Source organism: Homo sapiens, chromosome 20 (genome assembly GCF_000001405.40).
Source record: "Homo sapiens chromosome 20, GRCh38.p14 Primary Assembly".
Lineage (NCBI taxonomy): Eukaryota > Metazoa > Chordata > Mammalia > Primates > Hominidae > Homo > Homo sapiens.
This window is the reverse complement of record NC_000020.11, coordinates 1,107,661-1,131,499: the sequence shown is the minus strand read 5'-3', so window position 1 is coordinate 1,131,499 and position 23,839 is coordinate 1,107,661. Positions and strand designations below refer to the sequence as shown.

Sequence of the window (23,839 nt, the reverse complement as noted above, 5' to 3'; positions counted from 1 at the left end):
CCCTTTGTGTATTTTACTAAGAGCTGGACTAAGCGCTAAGCACTCTATGTGCTGACATCTCATTCCATTCTCAGAAAAACCCTGAGGTAGTACTATTGTGTCCCTCATTTCACAGTAATCAAAAAACAAAACAAAACACAACACATATCCCCTCCCTCACACACAAACCCCTCAAACAAATGTACTTAAAAAACAAATAGAGACAGGATCACAATTCTCTTTCAGTATTGCTGAACAGACGGAATGCTCTAATGAGCATGAATGGCCAGTATAATTCCTAGGTTCTTCCACAGGTTTTGTCAATTTCTCTCCCAGTGGAAGTCCAGAGTGAAGAAGTCAAGAGACCACACTCCAAATGTCCCTCCCTTACCCACTAAGAGGGGCCAGGGTGTCAGGGAGTGTGCAACACCCAGAGGCGCGGCATTCTGCCGGCCAGGCCTGGCTCACTTCCCCCTTTCCTCAGAGGCGCAGCATTCTGCCGGCCAGGCCTGGCTCACTTCCCCTTCCCTCCCTTTGTCTATTGCATGCAGAAGACACCCAAACCCTGCCCTCAAGGAGATCACAGGCAAGGAGGGAAGACCAACCCTAAGAAGGTAAATGTAAAATATCTGATGGATTAAATGCTTAAAAAATGATGTTTTGATCCAGGGCAACACAGCAAAGACCTCATCTCTACAAAAAATAAAAAACTGGCTGGGCATGGTGGCACATGCCTGTAGACCCAATTATTTGGGAGGCTCAGGTGGGAGGGTCACTTGAGCCCAGTAGGTTGAGGCTGCTTGGCCTGTTTATAAGTGAGCTGATTGTGCCACTGTACTCCAGCCTGCCTGGGCAACAGAGGGAAACCTGACTCCAAAAAAAACATTTTACTAAAATGTTTTGAAGCTGTAAGCCTGGGGGCCAGAGGAAGCTTCTCTAAGGAACTGACGTTTAAATCGGTAACCAAAAGATAAACAGGAGTTGGCTACGTGAGGTCAGGGAGAGCACTTTAGACAGAGGGAAGAGGTCTGAAGAGGGCAGAAGAATGACACTGTGGCTGAAGCACAGGGATGCGGGGAAGGCAGTACAAGGTGAGATTGAAGGGGTGAATGCTTTAAGGCCTCATCAAGGATTGTGCTCTTTATCCTAACAGCAATGAGTATTCCCTAAAGACTTTTAACTGTGGTAAAATATGCATAAAATTTACCATCTTAACCATTTTTAAGTGTTCAGTACTGTTAAGTACATTAACACTGTTGTGCAATCACCTACCATCCATCTCCAGATCTCTTTTCATTTTGCAAAACAAACTCTGTACCCATTAATCACTAACTCCCCTTCCTATTCCCCTCTTGCCCCAGTATCTGGCAACCACCATCCACTGTCTGTCTCTACAAATTTGACTAATCTAGGTACTTTTAATAGAATCACACAGAATTTGTCCTTTTGTGAATGGCTTATTTAATTTAGTATAATGTCTTCAAGGTTCATCCATGTTGTAGCACGGGCCAGAATTTCCTTCCTTTTTAAAGCCGAATAATATTCTACTGTATTTACATACCAAATTTTGTTCATCCATTCATCTTATCAATGGACAGCCAAGCTGCTTTCACCTTTTGGCTACTGTGAATAATGCTTCTACGAACATGGGTGTACAAATATCTTTTCAAGACCTACTTTCAATTCTTTTGGGTATATGCCCGGAAGTGGACATGCAGGATTATACGGTAATTTTTTGAAGAACTGTCATATTGTTTTCCATAGTGGCTGCACCATTTTACATTCCCAAGAGTGCACAAGAGTTCCAATTTCTCCACATCCTTGACAACGCTTGTTTATTTTCTGGTTATTCTGATACTACCCATCGTAATGGGTGTGAAGCAGCATCACTGAAGGGTTTTAAGCCAGAGTTGTTAACTATGATCTGATCTATGTCTGAAAGACTGGTCCAACTGCTGCGTGGGAAATACACTGGAGGGTGGCATGCAGGAGGGGAATATGTAAAAGACCTCCTCACACAGAAGCTGCATGGAAGAGGGGAGGAGAAATGAGGAGTGGCCAGAATGTGGAGGCCAGTGGTTTGAAAGTCTGTGAGGACTGGAATAGGTTCAAAGAGGGTATTGCTGATTAGATACTATTAAATGCAACAGGGTTTCTGGGCAGTTCTGAGGTTCGGTTAAGGTTTGATAACTGTGCATTTATAGTGATGCCAAGCTCACTCTAAAACTCTGAGGGTGGCTAGGTGCGGTAGCTCACACCTGTAATCCCATCACTTGAGGTCAGGAGTTCGACACCAGCCTGGCCAACAGCAAAACCCTGTCTCTATTAAAAACGCAAAAATTGGCTGGGTGCAGTGGCTCACGCCTGTAATCCCAGCACTTTGGGAGGCCAAGGCAGGTGGATCACGAGGTCAGGAGATCGAGACCATCCTGGCTAACATGGTGAAACCCCATCTCTACTAAAATACAAAAAAAAAAAATTGCCAGGCGTGGTGGTGGGCACCTGTAGTCCCAGCTACTCGGGAGGCTGAGGCAGGAGAATGGCGTGAACCCGGGAGGTAGAGCTTGCAGTGAGCCGAGATCGCGCCACTGCACTCCAGCCTGGGTGACAGAGCAAGACTCCGTCTCAAAAAACAAAACAAAAAAACGCAAAAATTAGCTGGGTGTGGTGGTGCACACCTGTAATCCCAGTTACTCGGGAAGCTGAGGCAGAAGAATTGCTTGAACAGTCACACTGTACTCCAGCCTGGGTGACAGAACTAGACTCCACCTCAAAAAAATAAAATAAAATAAAAAATAAAACCCTGAGGAGGTCAATGAAGATGGGGGGAAAATCCCTATAATGGAATAAAGCAGACATAAATCAGCTTAACTATATATAAAACAGATAATTTCATTATACTGATTTTAAAAACAAGCACTAATCTAAGTACCTTTGGAACACACTACTCTGCCTACATCTTTTGTGGAACATAGTTAAAAGACAAAAAGAACTGGAAATAAGTCATTTGGAACTTTACTTAATAGGTTTGTTCTTGGTAGGCACTGATGTAGCAATTCAGAAAATATTTGTGTGTATTCTAGGATCAAATAAATAAGTAAATACATTGATGCTGCTGGGAATCAGGGTTCTCACCACAGGAGAAGGGAGATATAAGTATGGAATAAGAGAAAAAGAATCCTGTAGTGTTATATTAAAAACAGAGGTGGCAATTTAAACTTATAAGGAAAAATTTTCCTAGCTCTATCTGCTGAAAAGGTCTAGAATCATACTACTGTATGATACCAACTATGTGACACTCTAGAAAAGGCAAAACTATGGAGACAGTCAAAAGATCAGTGGTTGCCAGCAGTTAGGGAAAAGGGAGTGAAGAATAGGAGAAGCACAGATTTTTAGGGTAGTCAAACTATTCTGTGTGATACTATGATAGACACACATTCTCATCTGTTTGTCAAAACCCACAGACTGCACAACAGCAAGCTTGAGCCCTAATAATGATGTGTCAATGTAGACTCATTAGTTGTAACAAATGAATCATTATGTATGGGATATTGACACAGGGAAGCTGTAAACTGTGGGTGTATGGGAGCAGGAGGTAATATGGGAATGCTCTGCACTTTCTGCTCAATTTTGCTTGTACCTAAAACGACCCTAAAGAAAATAATTTTTTTTTAAATAAGTTGGAGATTGGGGTTGGGGACCCAATGAGGCACACATCCTCCCAGGAGTCTGCTCTGACTGAATGAGTTGCCCGGGCTCCACCTCTACTCTGCAGCCACCACTGCACTTGTGGACTCTTGACTGCACCATCTTGTTTCATGTGGCATTTCCTATGGAAGTCTCCTCTTCAAATACATAAAAAACAGAAAAGAAAATTAGGAAGTTGTGCCCAGAAATAAAAGGTTCTTCCATTCACCTTCCTTAATTTTCTGGACACATCCACCCTATTCCTCATATCTTGCCATTAGTTCTCTCTTCTTTTTCCCAGGGAAGAGACATCATTTAGAAGTACCTGTGGAAGTCACCCAGGTGTTCTGCATCGATATAATCATCCAAGTTCAGGGTCAAGTCTGCCACTTGCTGTGAGCCATATTCCTAGATGGGTGAAAATAGAAAGTGAGAGACTGGGATATTTCTGGCTAAGAGTGGGAGGGTGAAGGGAGAGTAACAAAGTCTTCAACCTAAAGAAATATTCACATATGTCCACAGAGACATATATAAGGACTGTTTATATGAAATACCTTCCTAAGGCTTGGAGACTTCTCTGATTTAGGAATATTGCCTTTCCAAGGCAGAGACTAAAACACCTACTTCCCAGGCTCTTTTGCAAAAGGGCTCAGGCATGGTAATTGAGGTGTTGAACTGATGCATCAACTTTGATCTGCAGGTGAGCAACACGGAGATGCAGACCCAGCAAGGGGCAGACATCTTGCTAATGAGGGTAGCACAGAGGCCAGGGGGTCACATCAGCAGCTTAAGAGAAGGGTGCACCAGGGCAGACAGAATCAGCCAGTATCTAATACTGGGCAGTGGTGGTGGCAGCAGTGGTTTCCGGGGCATGATTTGGGACACTGCTTCTGGAAACCTAGCCTTAAACCTGTTTCAATGAGCTATCCTGGTTCTTTTTGTTTTGTTTTGTTTTGAGACAGAGGCTTGCTCTATTGCCCAGGCTGGAGTTCAGTGGCACGATCTCAGCTCACAGCAAACTCTGCCTCTTGGGTTCAAGGGATGCTCCTGCCTCAGCCTCCCAAGTAGCTGGGATTACAGGCACCCACGACCACGCCCGGCTAAGGTTTAAAAATATTTTTAGTAGAGACAGGGTTTCACCATATTGACCAGGCTGGTCTCAAACTCCTGACCTCAAGTGATCCACCTGCCTTAGCCTCCCAAAGTGCTGGGATTACAGGTGCGAGCCACTGCGCCTGGGTGATCCTGGTTCTTTTAATAAACCCTTTTTGCTTAAACTAACCCAAGAGGTTTTTGTTGTTTGAAACCAAGAACCCTATCTGACACGAGATCTAAATGTTCATCAAAAGGGAAAGGAATAAAGAAATTATGGTGCTATGAGAAACTATATAATAGTTAAAACAAATAAGGTATATCTATATGTATTTCCATGTCAAGGTCTTGCCTCCAAAACACCGAGTGAAAAAAAAGCAAAGTGCAGTATAATACATACAGCAGGATACTTCTACATGGTCACACCCAAACCACTAAGAAAAAAGTTAACAAAAGGAAAGTCACTGTCCTTGTGGCACTTATAGTCCCATGGCAGAATAAAAGCAAAGCACAAATAAGTACACAATTACAAGCTGCAATGAGTGTCAGGCAGGAAAATAAAATGATGGCGTAAAGAGACATAATTTAGATTTTTTTGGGGAGTAGGACTGGGTAGTCAGAACTGAAATTTTTGAGGAAGTCAAAAATGAAAGAGAATTGTCCAGGATGAAGGAATGGTGAAGGGCTGTGTGAGTGGCAGATGGGGGAGGGGAAGAGCCTTCCAGCATAGGAAATGTAAAGTGCAAGGGCTCCAAGGCAGCAAAGAATTCAATTTATTTAAGGAACTGAAGTAGCCCATTGGGGTTACCTAAGTTTTTCCCTTCTATCTTGTCACTGAATAGATTTACCTTATTTAACCATTCCCCTGTTGACAGAAAGCCCCTCCTTCTTAATTCCAGGTGGTGGATACCTTTGTGCACGAAGGTTTTCTATACTTAGGGTTCTCACCTTAAGATAAAGTTCCAGAAGTGGGATCACTAGGTAAGGGCTACATGAACATTGAAGCTCTGGATTCGTACCGTTAAATGGGTTTCAAAACAGCCATTCCTATCCCCATCTCATCAGCAGACTCACGTGTCCCAGAGACTCACCAGCACATTGAGGATCATGCTGCTCTCCACGGTGATGGCTTTCACAAGGAGCTTTCTGGACCCATCCTTATACTCATACCGGAGGACATACAGGTCTTTATTGTTGTTCCACCCAGCTGGCAGCAGTTCTGACTTCTTATCATTGGGACCCGGCTGGGAAGACCACAGTTGAGAGGAGAAAGATCATGAACTCAAAACACAGAACTATAAAGAACCTCACGAGATAAGCTAATCTTACCCACCTCACTTCACAGATGAAGATGTGGAGGTCAAGAGAAATGACTTGCCCAAGATCCTACAGCGAGAGAGAGGTCTAGGGCCCAGGTCTCTGGGCTTCTGTTCTACTGCGCTCTCCCTCATATTGAGCTACCTTTCTGACACAGCACTGGAACCTGTCAAGAATCTGCAGTGTTGGTTTAATAATTATCTCTTCCCCATCCCACTGCTAAGAATAAAGCCAGTCATCTTGAGGAACACTGCGAAGTTCTAAGTAGTGTTTTTCAAAGTTTGGACGTTAGGCTAACTTCAATAGGATTACCAAGGTGTTGACTAAAAACACAGATCCGAATACACGCTAACTGACTGCAGTGATGTACAAAAATTATAATTTCATAATACACAAAATGTAGCACATGTACAAATAACAAAGAATTATAAAATGTCTCTACCACCAGCTTAAGAAATAGAACATCAGCAATACTGCTAAAGCCTTGGGTAGCATACTCCAATAAATGTCCCTCCTTCCCCTTCAAGGGTAATCACCACTCTTAAACAATTTCTTTACTTTTCCTTAGAGTTATATTACTATACATGCAACCATAAAAATATAGCTTCAAATGTTTTTGAATTTTAAATACACAGCATCACTTCCGTCATTTGCCTTTTTTATTTGATAGTTTTTGGAAATGTATCCATGTCAATGCATTTAACTACAGCTGATTCACATTCACAGCTACACAGCATTCTGTATGACTATGCTGCAATTTATACATCTACTTGTTGATGGTGATTTGGAGTATTTCCAGCTTATTTGTTTTGCTATTATAAACAATGCTGCTATGAACATTCTTGTACACATCTGGTACACGTGGATAAATTTCTATACAGTATGCATGGAGGAAAAGCTTTTAATTTATAAGATAAAGTCAAGTTGTTTTCTAAAGAGTTACTGATTTATACTCCCACTAGCAATGTATGAAAGCTCCTGTTGCTCCGTGTAGTTGGCAACATTGCTATTATTGCTTGCCAATCTAGTAGGGGTAAAATGCTTGCCATTTTCATGCTTGTCAGCCTGGTGGGTGTAAAATACATCTTTTATTGTGAGTTGTGATGTCTTCCTCTTTTCTTTTTTAAAAATCCTAAGACTTTCCATACTAAAGTTTGAGAAATAGTTCTCAAATTATTTCTACAGGAAAAATAATATAGTGATTTCTAGGTGGGGAAGATTTCTTAAACAAGATCCATAAAAGAAAATGCTGCCTTTGACACTGTTCATAATTGAAAGCTTCTGTTCTACAGAGACACTACTAAATTAATAAGGAGCCACAGGCTAGGAAGAGACATTTGCCATGGCTGCAAAGGAAAGAAATTAATAACCTCTACATAAAGGGAATGCCTGGAAAATGAACAATAACAATTGGGAACTCCAAAAAGTGGCAAAAGATATGAACAAGAAAAAGAGCGGCTAATAGTGTCTAAAGAGTTATTCAATTTTACTAGCAATCAGAGAAGCAGAACTGAAATAATGAGACACTAAGTTACATGATTCGGACTGTTATTACCCAGTTTTCTATTTTTTGCCAGATGTCTGTGTAGGTGTGGGGAGAATGGGAACCTCCAGTCCCTGCTGGTGGGCATTTAAACTTGCACAGCCCCTTCGGGGAGCAATCTGACAGTTTTTAGTGCAATTAGATGAGCCAATATCCTATGATCCAAAATCCCTACTCCCAGAAGAAACCCTGTGCACAGGGTACATAACAAAGGATCTTCATTATAGCCTTGGCTAAGGTAGCAAAAGTGGAGATAAAATGCAAAATATGCTTATAGTGGAATACTATATAGCAGTCAGAAGGAATAAACCAGATCTAATGATAGTATTATATATAAAAGAAAAAATATGATTTAAAGAAAAGTTCCCCAAAAAATGAGGTTTACACTCCAGTACCACTTATGTAAAAATTTTAAAAAGCACAAAAAAATGCTATAATCTTTTTTCATGGATGTATATTTATATTGCTCACCATGGGGCAGGTGGACTGGGAAGATCTGTAGTCATGAGAATACAGCGGGAGGGAGTGGGACCGGAGATGAAGAAAATGGAAAAGACAAAGGTCCAGCAAAGCAAAACTTCACACACCAAGGACAAGGGGAGACCACACATTGAGAATTGCTGGCCTCTCCTGTTTCGTCACCCCTGGTGCTCAGAAATCCTCTGGGGAAAGAGATCCCAAATAAAATTCAGGATGTCGCAACTGTCATGGTTTAAAACCTGGCTGGATGACAATGAAATTCATAGGCCTGAAGCATAGAAATGAGAGTGAGGAAAAACAAAAGTAAAACTAATCAAACCATTCTTCTGCGAAAAAGAAACTATCCCCTCACCCCAAACTGGGTAAATTTCCCGAATATGTTTAGTGTTTAGTGTCGTGGATTTGTTTACTTTGGAAGCCAGGAATTTGATGACATCCTCATCTTTGCTCTGGCAAACGCCTTTAAATTTATATTATATCCTCCATGTACAGCATTCAATCCACCAGAGTTCTCTCTTGGAATATAAACAATTTGGTCTGCTCACCACCCCATCACCTTTGGCTTCCAGAGTTACAGAAAATCCCTGAAGTCAGGTGAAACTGATATCTCTAACTGCAGTGCAATTGATGTTCCCCAGTAAACAGAGGACAGACCCTGGCGATATCAGGCCAAACATGGTCTGCAACTGCCCTGTAAACCCTGACATCAAATATCAAGAGTCCCAGAAAGCCACAGTTGGAAAGTAGCCTAAGTACACAGTCACGTGGTTTAACTTCCTCTGATGAAAAATCAAAGGCCTGAGGCTGAGCGCGGTGGCTCTTGCCTGTAATCCCAGCCCTTTGGGAGGCAGAGGCAGGCAGATCACTTGCATTCAGGAGTTCGAGACCAGCCTGGCAAACATGGTGAAACCCTGTCTCTACTAAAAATACAAAAAAAATTAGCCAGGCATGGTGGCGGGGACCTGTAATCCCAGCTACTGAGGATGCTGGGGCAGAATTGCCTGAACCCAGGAGGCAGAGGTTACAGTGAGCCAAGATAGCACCACTGCACTCTAGCCTGAGTGACAGAGTGAGACATCTCGGATTAAAAAAAAAAAAAAAAAAAAGAAAAGAAAAAGAAAAAGAAAAGAAAACTCTAAGGCCTGAGATGGTCAGAGAGCTGCCCAAGGTCTCAGCAAGTCAGGTGTAGGGCTGTGCTTGGAATTCAGAGCTCCTGATTGCCCAGGCTATGGCTAGAGAAGGTTTTTCCCAGCCAGGTCCACAAGACTGGCCCTAAGAGAATAAAGATAATTGTCTTCTTAGGCAAAATCCTGGCACTGGAAGCATTCTTTAATGGCCATGAATTTGCCCCAATGCCTCTGAACTAAAATTCACCCAAAGAAACTTAAACAGATCATTTTGGGCATTTTCTCTCTTTCATCATAATCCTTAGATTTCCCACAACAGAAAACAAAATTCTCTAACTTATGTCGATAACCACCTAAGTCATCCCTTACCTATCCCCTTGGCACCCAAACCACTTGACAAAGCTGTAAAGTTCTTGTGAGGAGTGGTTCTGACTTCAAGAAAGAAATCCAAATTCAAGTATTGGATTTTTGTTGAAGCCAGTGGCTGCACTGGTTTTCTAATCAAGTTTTATGTACACAATTCCCCTGTAACAGAGGAAGCAAAACCTAAGAGAAAGCAGACAATCTAGCTTTCCATTTAACTGTCAACTTGTATAGTCAAGCATACACTCTTGGGACCTTCCTCTCCTTCTTATCACCCCCAGAAGGGTGGAAACAGCAGATGGCTGGAGAGGCAACACAAATATCCTCTGAGCTTGGAAAACACAATTGAGTCAGCTGAGTTGGCTGGCCCCAGGCTGAAAAATTAAACCTCTTCTTAAATAAACTAATAGGAAAGATGCCTCTCCAGTTTCCACTCTGAATGAAAGTAGACTCAGCAGAAGCGACAGAAGGACAAGTGCAACCTGAGCCCCAATGGCAATCAAGGAGAAAAGGCAGAGAGAAGCAAAAATACACCACACTCTAGTTTGCAATCCAAACACTCATTCCTTCGGGGGCATGCAAGATTTAGTGCTGGGGTAGATAGAGGAAAGGTGGCAATGCCTTACAAAAACCTAATTCCCCAGGCTCCTGGGCCTCCCCAAAGATGTCTGAAACCAGCATCTTTTTCTGGCCTGCAGAAGCTCAACGAATAGCACCATGAACAGAGAAAAATTAGATGGACCTTGGGGAATTGGTCAAGGACCTTTTTAAAAAAAAAAAAAACTATTAAAATGAGATTGTATTCTTTCTGTACATTTCATCTGAAAATTTTGGAGCCTTGAGTGTATGGCAAGGTGGTAATGCCAGCTAGAAGGTATCGACTTATGTGAACTCATGTCCCTAAACTGTCAAAGTGATTCAGACAGCATGAGTGAGGGTAAGAAATGTAGGAGCAGATCCACAGTGATTGATATTTATTTGTGGAATGGCAAGGAGAGAAGGGTATCAGACACGCCCTCTAGAACAAGTTCCTCAGCAGAGGTGGATGGGGTTCTGACAGTGTGGCAGAGTCTAAGTAGCTAGCTAGGAGTAGGTAAGGGGAGTGAGGTACATGAGGAGGGACAGAGTGCAAAGCAGAGCTGTTCCATCTGAAGGACAAGACAAAGGGCAGGGGGAGCTGAGGGCCAATGGAGGAGATCCCAGGTCAAAATCAAATCTTACTCCTCTTCTCAGCCCCACTGTCCCCTGCACCATCCCACATACCAGTTTCTTTGAAGAATCTAGGAAAAGTTGAAATAAAATGACTGGGGCAAGTGAAGAGCTGCTTAAGATTAAAAAGCTGGAGTAAGACAAGTGGGGAGACAAGATTTCTGTTAGGGGAACTATGCATTGAAAGAGGGGCCTGACGCTGAAATGGGGGTGCTGTCTCTACCTGGTCCCAAGGTCTGAAATGCTGGAAGACATTTGGAAGGTATGTGGAATGAAGAGCAGCACAAAGAGAAAGGTCAGGGACAGATGTGTTTGGGAAGGTGAAATGATTCCTGCTTCCAGGTATGTGTGTGTGAAAGGCTAGCTGTTCTTTTCCATCCTCATATCTAGTCTTAGAGCCCATTTGAGAGATGAAGTATGTGTGAGTTTGGAGGTGGGAATGGGGATCCTGAGTGTGTACCTGGGGTCCCAGTGAGATAATTGAGGTCTGGGGAAAAAAAGAGCCAGAAATCCCTGACGGTTCTTGTGTTCTGATTCCTGCTGGAGGGGGTAAAGTGTGAGAGGGGTATGGTGGTCTTGGTCTTTAGTTCTAAGAGACAGAGAGGAATAGGGACAGCAGTGAGGGGTGGGGGAAAGGGGATACTTGTCTAAGTGCTCAGAATGTACAAAGCAAGTTTGAAGAGAGGTCCCTAAAGCTATGTCAGGAGGGGAGAATTAAGACTCTATTTGAGAAGCTAAAAAAAATGATTAGAGGAGTTGAGAACTGAAGCAGTCAAAAAGGAGAGGAAGGGTGAAATCTCATGGCAAGATGCAATAGGTGGGGTGGTCTGTTTCCCATGGCTAGTCTTGGTTCTGAGAGTGAGAGAACAGTGACAGTGAGGGGCAGGCATGGAGGCAGGCCCACTTCTCCCAGGAAGCAGATGTCTAGGATGATGTGGATGTTGGGGATGAGGGTCACAGGGAAGAGACAGGAAAGAAAGAAGAATGCCAGAGCAAAGAATTAGTGAGGTGGGTTGGGTCCAGCAGTCCTAGAACTCTGTGGGGATGACAACGACGTCCCTAGCTGTAAGAGGTGGAGCCTGGGGATGGGAGAAGAGGGGCTGGCCCTATGGGGACAACTATGAGGAGAAAATCTTATATGACCCTCACACCCAGGGTGTATGTGTGTACGACTCTGGGGGTGATTGCTTCCTAGAGCTTGAGTTGGGGATGGCAGTAGCGAGTGGACTATGCTGGGCCCTTCAGTAAAGGGTGAAAGGCGTGTGAACTCTCTGGGCCCATGCTAACGGGTGAAAAAAGGGCCCTGGCCTGGGGCTGAGTAGGTCAAAGCTCACTCCTGTACCTGTGCTTGGATCCAGATGTTTGGTGGAGGCTCTACTGTGGTATGAGGGCGGAACTGAGTCAGTCCCCTCACCCCGAGGCTGGGTGGTAAGGAGTTCAGACGGGATCAGGTGGGTGAGAAGTGCTCTGGGGAGCTAAACTCCTGTCTAGATTCTTTGCCATTCTATGGAATGCTAGATCCACACAGTCCTGGCCTGAGAGGCTGCCAGGCTGTGTTGAAGCGAGTGTCCGCCCTTGAGTTTACAAATCATGTTGTGCCAGCTGTGCCGTGAGGGACTCTGGGCTGGGATGGGGCAGGTGAGCAACCTCCGACCCGCAGGTTTTACCAACGCTGCCATCTGCCCCAGACCCTGCACTGGGAGAAGCGGGGAAATCGGGCGCTCTGGACCAGGCCTCCGGTACTCTGAGTTTGGGCAGAAGACAGTTCCCTCCTCCACCCTGGCCGGCTCCGTGGCGTACCTGGTCACCGACACCCAAGCCGAAGTAACCGTGTGTCACCACTTCCCAATGCAAGAAGCAGACGAGCGCGTCCTGCCTGCAGGTGATGGCCGGCGCTGCCGATGCGAACAGTACCTCCAGGCCCGCCATGAGCGCCCGCGACTTCGGCGTCTGGAGGAAAGAAGGGGGCGGGGGTAGTGCAGTGAGCCGGCTCCGCGGCCGGGGTAGCTATAACTCTGCTTCCCTCTTGCGCTGGTTCTTGCCGAGTCCACACCTGAGACCAAAATGGAGACGCCCGGGGACGGGGCGGGGCGGGGAAGCCGGAAGTAGTCCCAACAGCGGGCGCAACTGCGTGAGGCGCGCCGGGTTGGCAACGCGAGCGCAGCACTGAAAGGTTCCGCCAGGGAGTGCGAGCGGGGCGTGGCCCCTCAAAGCCGGAAGCCGGGTCTTGGCGGCAGTCGACAGGATCGCCTGACGCGGGCACAGCGTCCTCCAAGAGGCCACCTTGCTGAGAGGCAGACTTCCCATCCACAAAATGGGGTATGCTAGGCCGGGGAAGGGGCTGGGAAATGTGGCTAAAATACATTCTTAATAATCGTTAACACGTTCGCCGTGCTTGCTACCGTCCACATTATTCTAAACGCTTTACTTGTATTCATTTATTTAATCTTCACAACCCAACTCTATGCAGTTGATATTAACGATTAATGTGCCTCATTGCACAGATGAGGAAACTGAGGCGCAGAGGGATAATTTGACCAAGATGACAACAGCCAGCCGGTGAACGGCTGAAATGGTTATGGGAACCTGGCAGTCTGGCTTCTAAGATAACATTTATTAAGTGTTTATTGTGTGCTACATCGTGCGCTAAAACCTTTACATCACCCTCTCAACAACTCTATGAAGTATGGACCGTTATTATCCCCATTTTGCAGATGACAAAACGGCTCAGAGTTGAAACCACTTCTCCAAGGAGACACAACTGCTGCCCGCAGAGCTGAAGCTCCTGACCCACTATCAAATTTCAATCATTTATTTGCCTACCCCCTTTATGATTTTTACCACCCGTTACTTCAACAAGTTTCATGAAATCCACTTATTGTTTTTACCCAAATAAATTTAGTTTCCCCATCCCAGTCACTAACCTGGTTCAAGCTCCTGTCATCTTTCACTTGGATGCCTGGCATCAGCCTCAGAACTGCCCCATTCCATTCCTGTCTCTCTCTAGTCTGTACTGCACTCCGCAACCAGAGAGATTCTGTTAGAAAACAAGTCAGATCGGCCAGGTGTGGCGGCTCATGCCTGTAATCCCAGCACTTTGTGAGGCCGAGGCAGGCGGATCACTTGAGGTCAGGAGTTTGAGACCAGCCTGGCCAACATGGTGAAACCCTGTCTCTACTAAAAATACAAAAATTAGCTGGGTGTGGTGGCGCACGCCTTTAGTCCCAGGTACTCGGGAGGCTGAGGCATGAGAATCAATCGAACCCGGGAGGTGGAGGTGGAGGTTGCAGTGAGCCAAGATCGCACCATTGCACTTCAGCCTGGGCAACAGAGCGATCTTCTGTCTCAAAAAAGAAAAAAAAAAAAAAAGAAAAGTCAGATCACATCCGTTGGCTCAAAATCGTCACACTCAATGGAAAAGTAAAGTCCTCCCCATGGTCTGCAGGAATCTGCATGTGGTCTGCCATCTCCTGCCCCAGCCCTGCCAGCCCTGTACCTCTCTGATTCAGTCTCCTTCAACTGTCCTCTCATCCCCTTTATACGTGCAATAACCTTGGCTCCCCCTCTTCTCTCACATCTACATCTGGTCCAACAGCAAAGCTAGTTGACTCCACTCTCAAAATATATTATGAATCTGACCACTTCCCATCACCTTCACTGCTTCCACTCTGGTCTGATCCTCCAGCATCTCACACTTAGACTATTGCAGTAGCTTCCCAGCCAGTTTCCCTGTTTCATGTGTTCTGTTTGGGCCTTTGCGTTCCTCTTCCTGGAATGCTCTTTTCCCAGATATCTGCATGTCTTGCTTCTTCATTTCAAGTGGCTTCATCCCTCACTCCTACCATCCTCAACAGAGGGCTTCCCAGACCATTCCATCCAAAATAACCTTCTCCCGTCTTTAATCCCTCTCTGGCTTTTTTTTTTTCCTGCAAAGCATTAATCATAACCTGAAACTATGTTAGGTGTTTATTTCTTTGCTTATTTAATGACTGTCTTTCCACTAGACTGTGACAAAGGAACAGGGAGCATGTCTACCTTGTGCACATATGTACCTGAGTGCCTTCTGGGATCAATCTATACTTATTGAAAGACAGAATGAATACTGAATGAAGGAATGAATTCTTGGCCTAGCCCCAACCCAGTCAGGGCACTCTTACCTCTTTATAGTCCATCACTCCCTTTGTCAGCTGGCCCTGTGCCTCTCCAAATTTTGTGTTCCTAAAGTTTCCTTGAGACAACCAGATTCTTGAACCCCTTCTGCAGAGATTCTGGATGAGAAGGTCTGAGGAAGAGTGCATGTATGTTGACTACATTCTGGATGACACTAAAGCTAGTGGCTGTGGAACTCCTCTCTGAGATGTACTGCCTGTGGCATAAAGCTATTTGCCCTTTCTACTGAGAAGTTCTGCACTTTCAGTCTTCCCTGCTTTTGCTTGCTCTGTCCCTTCTGTTTGTAATGCCCTTATCCAATTATGGAAAATTTCTACAGATTCATTCCATCAATAAACTTTCATAGGCTGGGCTGCCATGAACCATAGTGCAGGGTGTCCACTTAAGGTGCCTACTTAGTGGCAGCCCATTCCTAAGTGCCTACTGTGGGCCAGACACAGATGAACAGGTTCCTGTCCCTATAGAGCTCACTGTCTAGTGTTTAAAAAAAAAAAAAAGTACTGGCCAGGCATGGTGGCTCACACCTGTAATCCCAGCACTTTGGGAGGCTGAGGCAGGTGGATCACGAGGTCAGGAGTTCAAGACCAGCCTGGCCAACATGGTGAAACCCTGTCTCTACTAAAAATACAAAAATTAGCCGGGCGTGGTGGCAGGCACCTGTAATCCCAGCTATTCGGGAGGCTGAGGCAGGAGAATCGCTTGAACCCGGGAGGTAGAGGTTGCAGTGAGCCGAGATCAAGCCACTGCACTCTAGCCTGGGTGATAAAGAGAGACTGTCTCAAAAAAAAAAAAAAAGTGGATTAAGGATCAAAAGGTGTTCCAGTAAAAGGAAACAGTATGTGCAAAGGCATGGTGGAATGCAGCTAGCTCTGTGGGATTACAAGGTCAATGTTGCCTCCTGAGTGAGGTTTCCCTCGTCTCTTTGCCCATGATTAATTGCACTTTCCTCAGTGTGCTTGGCATCAGTGGGCTTTCAAGGGGTGGGCATGGGACAGTGAGAGCTATCAGCCTTAGTCAGGTGGAGAATTTTATCAATGAAGTTGATTCAAATTGCTGGTACATGATGACAGTAAAAAGTGGACTGGCCTTTGGTCTGTTTTGTTACTGCCTTTACGTTTTCTACAGCAAATGTACCTACTCCTTGTCTGCACCAGGGCAGACAGCTCCGTCACCCCCACCCCTTGGTTCAACACTGGTTTGCATACAGTTGGTTGTAGCTGGCATCTTACAGGGCAGACAGCTCCGTCACCCCCACCCCTTGGTTCAACACTGGTTTGCATACAGTTGGTTGTAGCTGGCATCTTACAGGGCAGACAGCTCCGTCACCCCCACCCCGTGGTTCAACACTGCTTTGCATACAGTTGGTTGTAGCTGGCATCTTACAGGGCAGACAGCTCCGTCACCCCCACCCCTTGGTTCAACACTGGTTTGCATACAGTTGGTTGTAGCTGGCATCTTACAGGGCAGACAGCTCCATCACCCCCACCCCTTGGTTCAACACTGGTTTGCATACAGTTGGTTGTAGCTGGCATCTTACAGGGCAGACAGCTCCGTCACCCCCACCCCTTGGTTCAACACTGGTTTGCATACAGTTGGTTGTAGCTGGCATCTTACAGGGCAGACAGCTCCGTCACCCCCACCCCTTGGTTCAACACTGGTTTGCATACAGTTGGTTGTAGCTGGCATCTTACAGGGCAGACAGCTCCGTCACCCCCACCCCTTGGTTCAACACTGCTTTGCATACAGTTGGTTGTAGCTGGCATCTTACAGGGCAGACAGGTCCGTCACCCCCACCCCTTGACACTGGTTTGCATACAGTTGGTTGTAGCTGGCATCTTACAGGGCAGACAGCTCCGTCACCCCCACCCCTTGGTTCAACACTGGTTTGCATACAGTTGGTTGTAGCTGGCATCTTACAGGGCAGACAGCTCCGTCACCCCCACCCCTTGGTTCAACACTGGTTTGCATACAGTTGGTTGTAGCTGGCATCTTACAGGGCAGACAGCTCCGTCACCCCCACCCCTTGGTTCAACACTGCTTTGCATACAGTTGGTTGTAGCTGGCATCTTACAGAACACTGGTTCCCTCTTCTACACCATCATCCCTGTCTTAACATGTATTCTCTCAGAAGCCCGTGGTGAGACAGGGATTTGAGTGGTTTATTTGGGAGCTGATTCCAGGAAATAGCGGTGGGGGCAGTGGAGTAGGGAAGTGAGACAGGAAGGAAAGGGAGCCAGCAGAGGGAGTGTGATGAAGCCAGTTACCTCTACGGGCAACTGGACCGCACTCCTACCCGGGAACTCTGGGAGGCAGTGTGGGGCATGTCTCAGAGCTATTGCATTTGAGGGCATCTGCCACAGGCTGAGAGCTGCTTCTGGGGTCCTGGAAGGCCCTCAGGCACAGAGTTGCATAATTTAGAGAAAGCAGTCTTTGCGTCTAGAGGTGACTGCTGAAGGGTGATGAGGGTGTTGTAGTGCGATCTGCTCTGTCCTCCCACACCCCTGACCGGGGGTAAGCCATGCCTTAGAAAGTCCGTAACCCAGGCCGGGCGCGGTGGCTCACGCCTGTAATCCCAGCACTTTGGGAGGCTGAGGCGGGCGGATCACGAGGTCAGGACATCGAGACCATCCTGGCTAACACAGTGAAACCCCGTCTCTACTAAAAATACAAAAAATTAGCCGGGCGTGGTGGCGGGCACCTGTAGTTCCAGCTACTCGGAGGCTGAGGCAGGAGAATGGCGTGAACCCGAGAGGCAGAGCTTGCAGTAAGCTGAGATCGCGCCACTGCACTCCAACCTGGGCGACAGAGCGAGACGCCGTCTCAAAAAAACCAAAAAACAAAAAAAAAGAAGAAGAAGAAAGTATGTAACCCAGCAGCCAGCATGGAATAGGCACTGGCATCAGTGTATTGAAAGAATGAGGTGAGCTCTATCTCTTGCACTAGGCTGTGAATCCCCTGAAGGCCAGGACTATGTTCCACCTGTCCTGAACCCCAGGGTCCTCCAGGGATGGGAACAAATGGGAGGAACTCCTGGGGCTGGTGTGTGTGTGTGTGTGTGTGTGTGTGTGTGTGTGTGTGTGTGTGTGTTGCCCCTGATCCATCCAGCACTTTCTGTGGACTTACCTACATCAGCAAGAGTCCCATTCTGCCCTATGAGGGCTGTGGGTGGCTGAGAAGGGAAGCAGGTGGCAGGTGCCTCCCTGTCTGGGCCCCCACTACCAAGAGCCTATGCCAGAGGTGAGGGCCCAGGATGATGGAAAGAACTTGGCTGGTGGCTGCAGCCACCAGTTCCTGGTTGCCAAGTGACAGCAATGTGGGTATTCCAAGCTCCCTGCCTCCCTGGAAACCATGAAGAACTGAACCAAGGGGCAGCGCCTAGATGGGCACTGAGGCGAAATCGTTCACTACTGTAATTCTTCTTTGGCCTAGCATCAGCCCAACCGTATCACCTCCTCCAGGAAGCCCTCTATGATTAATATTGTTCTTTGTTTCTACCAAGTAGCTGATATCCAAGACTTCCCAACTTCCCATTCCCCTTGTCCGTGGGGTACCTAGCATATTTGACACCCATAGCAGATATCTCTTTTTTTTAAAAAAATGATAATTTTTAGGCTGGGCATAGTGGCTCATGCCTGTAATCCCAGCACCTTGGGAGGCGGGCGGATCACAAGGTCAGGAGATCGAGACCATCCTAGCTAACACGGTGAAACCCTGTCTCTACTAAAAATACAAAAAAATTAGCCAGCCGTGGTGGCAGGCACCTGTAGTCCCAGCTACTCGGGCAGCTGAGGCAGGAGAATGGTGTGAACCCAGGAGACAGAGCTTGCAGTGAGCCGAGATCATGCAGCTGCACTCTAGCCTGGGCGACAGAGCGAGACTCCGTCTCAAAAAAAAATAAAATAAAATATATATTTTTTGTAACTCTGTTAGTTTTTTGAAGTTTTTTATTGTGGTAAAATACACATAGCATAAAATTGATCATCGTAATCACTTTAGGTCTACAGTTTAGTGATATTAACCACACTGTTTTCCACGGAGGCTGCACCATTTTACATTCCCACCAACAGTGCACAAGCGTTCCAATTTGTCCACCTTCTCAGCAACACTTGTTATTTTATGTTTGTTTTGTTTTGTTTTCATAGTAGCCATTTAGCCATTCTAATGAGTATGAGGTGGTATCTTTTATTTTTTAAATAGAGATGGGGTTTCGCCATGTTGCCAAGGCTGGTCTTAAACTCCTGAGCTCAAGCAATCCACCCGTCTCAGCCTCCCAAGTGCTGGGATTACAGCCGTGAGCTACCATGCCCAGCCAGTGGTATCTTATTATAATTTTGGTTTGCATTTCCCTAATGATTAGGGATGCTGAGCAACTTTTGATGTACTTATTGGCCTTTTGTATGACTTAGGAGAATGTTTGTTCAAGTCCTTTACCCATTTTTTAACTGAGTTGTTGGGTTTTTGTTGTTCAATTTTAGGTGTTCTCTGTATATTTTGGATATTATTCCCTTATCAGATATACGATTTGTAAATATTTTCTGCCTTTTTGTGAATTGCCTTTTACTCTGTTGATAGTGTCTATTGATGCACAAAAGCTTTTAATTTTCATAAAGTTCAATTTGCCTGATTTTCCTTTTGTTGCCTGTGCCTTTGATGTCACATCCAAGAAATCACTGCCAAATCCAGTGTTGTGAAGAATTTGCCCTACATTTTCTTCCAAGAGTTTTATATTTTTACGTCTTACATTCAGGTCTTTGATCCATCTTGAGTTCATTTTTATGTGTGGTGTGAAGGAGAGGTCCAGCTTCATTCTTTTTATATGAATATCCAGTTTCCCCAGCATCATTGGTTGAAAAGGCTGTTCTTTCCCTATTGAATGGTCTTGGTGTCTTTGTTGAAAATCATTTGGCCATACATGTGAAGGTTCATTTCTGGGCTCTCTATTCTGTTCCATTGGTCTATATGTCTGTCTTTATGCCAGTACCATAATGTTTTGATTATGTAGCTTTGTAGTAAGTTTTGAAATCAGGAAGTATGAGGATGTCAATGAAGCAGATCACTTTTTAACACCTCCCTCCTCATCTATGAAATTATTTTCAGCAATAACCACATGATAATCAGTAAAAATTATTATTTCCCTGATTCATTCTTCAATGAAAAAATATATATGATTTTTTTTTGAGACAGAGTGTTGCTCTATCACCCAGGCTGGAGTACAGTAGCACGATCTCGGCTCACTGCAACCTCCGCCTCCTGGGTTCAAGAGATTCTCCTGCCTCAGCCTCCCAAGTAACTGGGATTACAGGCACGCACCACCAGGCCCAGCTAATTTTTGTATTTTTAGTAGAGATGGGGTTTCACCATGTTGGCCAGGCTGGTCTCGAACTCCTGGCCTCAAGTGATTCACCTGCCTTGGCCTCCCAAAGTGTTGGGATTACAGGCGTAAGCCACCATGCCTGGCCAAAAACATAATTTATAGATTGTACAACTCCCCCTTTTTAGTGTATAACTCTGAGTTTTGACAAATGCACACAGTCTTATAACCACCGTATTCTCTAGGTATTTCCAGAAAGAAAGGATTTTTAAAAATTCATCTCTATTGAGATAATTTACATACAATAAAATCACCCGTTTTAGTTGTATACTTCATGAGTTTTGCCTAATGTATAGACCAGCGTAACCACCATGACCAAGATATAGCATGTTTACATGACTCCAAAAAATTTCCTCATGTGCCTTGGCAGTTAATCTCTCCAGCCTCTAGCTGAGGTGTGTTAGTCCATTTTGCATTGCTATAAAGGAATACCTGGGACTGGGTAATTTCTAAAGAAAGGCACTGCAGGCTGTCTAGCATGACACCAGTATCTGCTTGGCTTCTGGTGAGGCCTAGGAAGCTTTCAATCATGGTGGAAGGCAAAGGGGAAGCATGCATGTCATATGGAGAAAGAGAAGGGGAGGGAGCAAGGAAGAGGTGCCAGGATCCTTTAAATAACCAGCTCTCACATGAACTAATAGAGTGAGAACTCACTCATTACCATGGGGAGGACACCAAGCCATTCATGAGGAATCTACCCCCATGACCCAAACACCTCCCCCTATGCCCGCTTCTAGCATTGGAGGTCACATTTCAGCAGGAGATTTGGAGGGGACAAAACATCCAAATCATATCACCAGGCAACCACTGATCTGTGTTTTTTGCATCTATATTTTTGGTATCTAATTTTGCCTCTCTTAAAAGTTCATATAAATGAAATGTATACAATGCCCCAGGAAGCAGATGTCAAGATGGAGTTAGCAGTGTTAGAGGTTTATTGGGGATAAGTCACAAAAGGAAAAGGGGAGTGGGAACAGGAGTATGTGGGGAGAACCTTCAGGCCTTTCTGCTGATCTGGCTCCTACAAAAGAAGAGAAGGAAGGAATAAGGATTAGTGAGAAAGTCTCAGCCAGCCCAACGGAGAACTCCAGCACCAAGAAATATCATAGAGAGTTCCCTGTTGGATTGAAATGGCCAGGCCTTAGTGCTGTCTCTGCTCGGTGGGCTGCCCGTAAAGAGCATGGCTTCAGCATGATCCCAGTGGTCCTATGGCCGGAGGACGTTAGCAAACTGCACTCCTCACAGCTGTGTGGCAATTATTTTCTTGAAGGTTTGGCACCCCTCCATAGTTGACACATAAAATAATACCCCTTCATGCCTTTTTTCACTCATCATCATGTCCAAACTTCATCCATGTTGTGTGTATCAGTACCTTCCTTTTTATTGAGTAATATTGTGTTGTATGGATGTGCCAGTTTGTCCAGTCCCTTATTGATGGGCATTTGGGTTGTTTCCAGCTTGGGATGGTGATGAGTAATGCTGCTGTAGACATACATGGACAGGTCTTGGTATGGCCTTATGATTTCACTGGTCTTGGATAAATTCCTAGGTGTAGAATTGCTGGATCTTATGGTAGAGTATATGTTTATAGGAAACTGCCAAATGTGTTCCCAAAATGGTCATACCATTTTCCACACCTGCCAACAATGAATGAGAGCCCTGGTTGCTTGACATCCAGCAGAAGGGGATTTAATGGGAAAAATATGATGCTTACTGAACCAGTGGATGGATTGGAATGTAAAGATTGGGGAAAGCTGCCACCAGCTTTCAGAAAGTCTGGACATTGCAGGAGCTTCAGAAAACCACCAGCAGTGATCACAGCTGCCTCCCATCCTGGGGCAGTCTGTGTGTATGTAGGGTGGTGGGGGGACCTGCAGAGGCTGCTGCCAAACTGAAACCTAAAACTCAAGATTCTGCCACTGCTGTTGGAGAAGCAATAATGTGCCCCTGCCTCTGCCTCCCAGTGGCTGGATCTAACTTGGAACCCAGCTGGCAAGTCATTCTGAAAAATGCACTTGTTAGGTTTCAGGCCTCTGAAATACTAAGGGAAGGCATAAAAGGTGTGAGTGTGAGTGTGTGTGTGTGGTGGGGGTCGGGGGGTAGTACTGGGGCTTTGACAAATTGCTCAATGTATATTGTCTCATTTAATTCCCAGAACAACACTTTAAGGTAGAAACTATTATTATCTTCGCTTTAAAAATGAGAAAAATAAGGGAGAAGTTGTGCCATTGTCCTAAGCAGCAGGGTCAGGATTTGAGCCAGGCGGTCAGCCTGCTTGCCTCCTCATCACAGTGCCATGCCTCCAACAGCATCACTAAGGGCTTGCGGGATTCTGAGCTCTGAGTTTCAAGATCTACACAGGAAAAGCCAAGAGTCATGACGAGGACCATTTTTCAGACCTCAGGGGCAGAAAAGGCTGGGAATAGAAAAAAGGGTCAAGGGTCCAGGCTGGGAACAGAGAAACGATCTAGGCATGGGAAGCTCCTCCAACCACAGGGACACATGAAGAGTCTCTGCAGAGACAAGGGAGGCCACAAGAGGGCACCCTGGCCCACCCAAATGTCCACAGATGGCAGCCACGCAGGGAGAGGCACACTCTCCTCCATCCTGACTTCATTCCACCAGGAGGTTCAGGGGAGCCCTAGACCAGAGCCCCCCCAGCAGGCTCTGTCCACACTGCAATCAGCCTTCACACCTGGAAATACCTGATTTTAGCTCTGGGGATCGTTGCCTTCAGGGAGAGACGGTCCCCAGAGAACCCAAGTCCTTGGAGGCACAGAGGGTCGGTTTCTGAGGCCACTCTCTTTCCTGTACCCCCTACTTCTCTTTGTCTCCATCCTTTCACAGACTTGGGCCTGATCCTTGCCTTGCCCCCATGCCACCCATGTCCAGCTCCAACTCCAAAGTTCCATCAGGCACTTGCCCACCTTGGTCAGGCAGGTGGGAGGGGTGACCAGTATTACCTTGAAAGGCTAGAAGCTCTGCCTGATGCTCCCCAAACCAGAACATCAGCTTCATGAGCACAGGGATTTGTGTCTGTTTGGTTCACTGCTATAGTCCTGGCACCTAGAACAGAGCCTGGCATACATAGTAGGTGCCCAATAAATATGTGATGAGTGAATAAATACATTAGCAGGTGCATAGTGTAGAAAAGTGTCTAGGCCTTGGAGTCAGGGAACCTGGGTTTACATCTCGGCCTCTTTGCTTACTCACTGTGCAACTTTGGGGAAATGGCTTATCAAATTGTCAAATAGGGGTTATAGTGGTGTCTCCCCAAGGGCTGTTGGGAGAATTTCTGAACATGATGTCAATAAAATGCCTCCCACAGTACCTGGCTCATGATAAGGGCCCCTAAGAGGTGGCTCATTATTTGAGATAATGAGGCCTTGGAAAACAGCACCTATTTATTGAGGATTTACTATGTGTCTGGCACTTGGCTCATGTTATCTAATTCAATTTTCATAACAACTTTTAAATGAGAAGTTAAGTAGCTCAGAGAAC

At 45.6% G+C, this 23,839-nt stretch overlaps 1 protein-coding gene and 1 long non-coding RNA gene across 7 annotated transcripts in view, besides 6 other annotated features; one reads left to right on the top strand and one right to left on the bottom strand.

Moving 5' to 3' along the window:
* The window catches only part of PSMF1 (proteasome inhibitor subunit 1), a 58,984-nt gene extending 40,747 nt beyond the window's left edge, over positions 1 to 18,237 (bottom strand). For 4 of the 6 annotated variants that reach the window (NM_001323409.2, NM_001323410.2, NM_006814.5 and 1 more), the window contains exons 1-3: positions 12,598 to 12,898; positions 5,850 to 6,002; positions 3,992 to 4,074 (exon numbers count right to left, since the gene is read on the bottom strand). In NM_001323409.2, coding sequence (NP_001310338.1) covers positions 3,992 to 4,074; positions 5,850 to 6,002; positions 12,598 to 12,726 — 365 coding nt within the window. In that variant the 5' untranslated portion in view covers positions 12,727 to 12,898. Of the gene's footprint in view, positions 1 to 3,991; positions 4,075 to 5,849; positions 6,003 to 12,597; positions 12,899 to 18,090 lie in introns of those variants that run through there. The other 2 variants (NM_178578.4, NM_001323407.2) reach the window with 2 other exon arrangements.
* Positions 12,505 to 13,147: an enhancer, noted in NCBI's record as "H3K27ac hESC enhancer chr20:1098996-1099638 (GRCh37/hg19 assembly coordinates)". NCBI's record gives its function as "activates a minimal SCP1, AML or CMV promoter by ChIP-STARR-seq in primed H9 embryonic stem cells {active_cell/tissue: H9 hESC(primed)}" and the evidence as "EXISTENCE:reporter gene assay evidence [ECO:0000049][PMID:30033119]".
* Positions 12,626 to 12,755: an enhancer, noted in NCBI's record as "active region_17454". NCBI's record gives its function as "activates an Ori minimal core promoter by ATAC-STARR-seq in GM12878 lymphoblastoid cells {active_cell/tissue: GM12878}" and the evidence as "EXISTENCE:reporter gene assay evidence [ECO:0000049][PMID:35858748]".
* Positions 12,796 to 12,985: an enhancer, noted in NCBI's record as "active region_17453". NCBI's record gives its function as "activates an Ori minimal core promoter by ATAC-STARR-seq in GM12878 lymphoblastoid cells {active_cell/tissue: GM12878}" and the evidence as "EXISTENCE:reporter gene assay evidence [ECO:0000049][PMID:35858748]".
* Positions 12,996 to 13,045: an enhancer, noted in NCBI's record as "active region_17452". NCBI's record gives its function as "activates an Ori minimal core promoter by ATAC-STARR-seq in GM12878 lymphoblastoid cells {active_cell/tissue: GM12878}" and the evidence as "EXISTENCE:reporter gene assay evidence [ECO:0000049][PMID:35858748]".
* Positions 13,052 to 13,648, top strand: LOC105372493 (uncharacterized). The gene is made up of 2 exons (NR_136535.1): positions 13,052 to 13,116; positions 13,512 to 13,648. It is a non-coding gene; the product is annotated as an uncharacterized LOC105372493 (long non-coding RNA).
* Positions 13,056 to 13,105: an enhancer, noted in NCBI's record as "active region_17451". NCBI's record gives its function as "activates an Ori minimal core promoter by ATAC-STARR-seq in GM12878 lymphoblastoid cells {active_cell/tissue: GM12878}" and the evidence as "EXISTENCE:reporter gene assay evidence [ECO:0000049][PMID:35858748]".
* Positions 22,785 to 22,834: an enhancer, noted in NCBI's record as "active region_17450". NCBI's record gives its function as "activates an Ori minimal core promoter by ATAC-STARR-seq in GM12878 lymphoblastoid cells {active_cell/tissue: GM12878}" and the evidence as "EXISTENCE:reporter gene assay evidence [ECO:0000049][PMID:35858748]".